This window comes from Homo sapiens, chromosome 18 (assembly GCF_000001405.40).
Source record: "Homo sapiens chromosome 18, GRCh38.p14 Primary Assembly".
NCBI classification, from domain to species: domain Eukaryota; kingdom Metazoa; phylum Chordata; class Mammalia; order Primates; family Hominidae; genus Homo; species Homo sapiens.
Genome location: NC_000018.10, coordinates 1,663,485 through 1,666,051, shown reverse-complemented (window position 1 = coordinate 1,666,051; position 2,567 = coordinate 1,663,485). Strand labels below are relative to the sequence as shown.

At 36.9% G+C, this 2,567-nt stretch overlaps 1 annotated feature.

Annotated features, from left to right (window-relative positions):
- Positions 1,690-1,984: a silencer, noted in NCBI's record as "tiled region #5473; HepG2 Repressive non-DNase unmatched - State 12:CtcfO". NCBI's record gives its function as "represses a minimal TATA promoter and a strong SV40 promoter by Sharpr-MPRA in HepG2 cells {active_cell/tissue: HepG2}" and the evidence as "EXISTENCE:reporter gene assay evidence [ECO:0000049][PMID:27701403]".

The following is a 2,567-nucleotide window of genomic DNA, read 5'->3' as shown; positions in this document are numbered from 1 at the left end:
GGCCACAATTCTAAGCCACAGTGCTAGGCACTGGTGAGGCAGATGGAAAAGTATTAAGTAAAAAATGAGATATTTACATTCAGTAGACTGTTACCAGGTGACCAAGACTGGTAGCAGCTTGTTCTAAATAATTAATTTCACATATACAACTCTTGAGGGATACTTTAATTATGCTTTGTAGAAAATTTACAGTGATAAATATCTCCAGGTAGCTCAAATGGGCAAATAATATTATACAGAGTAACCCTTTGCTCTTCCAAAGGCTTCTATCATTAGTGATAACAAATGTTGAGAAGAGCACTGGTGCTACCTGTTCTGAAGATAATTCTCTACTTATTTCAAAAGTATCACCCATTTTTGTATAAAAGAGCAAAAGAATATAGCTATCAATAGTTGGGATAAATCTTGTTAGCCTCCACAGTACACGCCAGGATCATTACCCGGGACAACAGCCCATTTTCCGGCTAGGCCTGTACTATGTACAGCCACGTTTGTATATGCCATGTTGATGAGAACTCCAAGGCATAATTTTATGGCTGCCACTTTAAGGAAGAGAGGAAAGTAGGTAAGGACAGTGGCTTTCAGGAGTAAAGCAATTTTCTGACAGTTTTTGATCAAAGTATTATCACTGTCTAAGATTTTTTTTTTTTTTTGCCTCCACTAGAAATACATACGTTTAAGATGATAGATGCCAAACAGAATACTGTGATGAGAGGGTCAGGGAAAGATCTCACCTAGCAAGAATGTGTGATTAATTTCCCTTCTGAATTTATGAGACAGGGCAGTCAAGGCCATTCTAAAATAGCAACAGGGTGATTAGAAGGTGACTGAGTAAACAATGTAATAACTCTGAGTGGAATTTAATCTCTTCATATGTTCTGCTAAAAACTCCAGTTTTTGAAAGAATACAATGAACCCAGAAGGGGTACTATTGCCATTAATGCTACCACAAGGAAGGAAGAGTGAAAGGAGGCAACCCGGTCCTAAAACACTGATATTTGTTCCATTCATTCGCTATATGTACCTTCAATTGCTAATATGTATGCAGTTTTCCAGGCACTTTGGGATGCGAAGTCAAAAAGGTGATTTCCTTATTTACAAAACTATAGTATGTTTAATGAAGTGTAAAAGATCTGCTAATGCATTTTGTTCTTTTTTTCCGAAGACTTTAAAATACGAATTATTACTATTTATTGAATATGTATTATGTGTCTAGGACTTTACATAGGTAATTTTATTTTTATAAATATATAGTATCATTAACAGGTGATTATTGACTCTGTATATTTTAAAGATTTGAGAAAATAAGACTCAGGTTAAATAACTTGTTCAACGTCCCCTAATTAGTCAGTGCTAGTGCTGGAATTTGGATGTGTGTGAATTGCAAAGTTTGTTTTGCTAAGCAAAGTCCAGGGGCTGTCTGTAAAGAGGGGTCTAGGAGTCTATTATAGGTATACACTGACATTATATAGAACTCAACTTGCGATCAAATATGTCAGCCAACATAAAGGAAACACGTATTACTAAGGTTGATTCTTAAAAGCAACATGGCCTGGGCTTAGGGGCTATACATTCAGGAGAAGTGGCATCTATGTGGTTTATGAACCAAAACAGTATCCTTCAAAGTAAGAATGAATATGTATGTATATGGTCTGCACTGTAGAATGAAGTAGTTCTTTCTGATGGAGCTGGGGATGTGGCCAGAAGGGGATGCATGTGCAACTTTGCATTTGCGACTAACCCCTAGGGGGCGCCGAGTCTACAGAGCTAGGAGAGAAGTTTGTGCTAAGTTCCACGGGATAAACTGATACGCTTCCTGGCTGGGTGTGAAGGAGCGCCTCTTTTCTTGCACATATCCCTACTGTAAATGTATCCCAAATGTTTGATCCTAAATCATACTTCATATCAGCCGCTGTTTATATTATGTTCCAAGCCTCCCCCTGCTGGTTGCCTGAGTGACATTTTTGAATAGAATATGACAGAGCTTGGGTAGAAGGTGAAGGACAACGCTGGCATGCTGATGTAGCCCATGCGTGCTGTTCTGATAATACGGTATCCTTAAATATAGTTATTGTCTCTCCTTCAGGAATAACTACATCTGCAATAACTAGCTCCTGGATAAAGTCATATGAATGAGAGAATTGACTGTCCTACTGAATATAACTGAATCTCAGAATAAAACCCTGCTTTTTTATTGCTTACACGTGTCCATTTGTTAACATTGCATTTGGATAAAACAATGGTTCTAAACCAATTAAATTTAGTGAAAGAGAGGAAGCTTCAATGAATGGAGCTCTTTCTTTTCCTGCCCAGATATACTACCTAGAGAGAGCTTGAAAACAAAGAGAATGTTTATCAACATAGCCAGGTAATATTTCAAATTAGATGTCAGAGAGAAGTTTTCACTTTTCATGAGGAGCTACATGTGTTAGTTAAAGCTTAAAACTCTTCAAATGTAAATCACATTGATGGGAATTTAATTTATTGTGCAGAAATTAAGGCCATTTATGAATAGAATATATTTGATTATATTCTTAGTACTCTTTCAACATGAGATAGGAGTATAG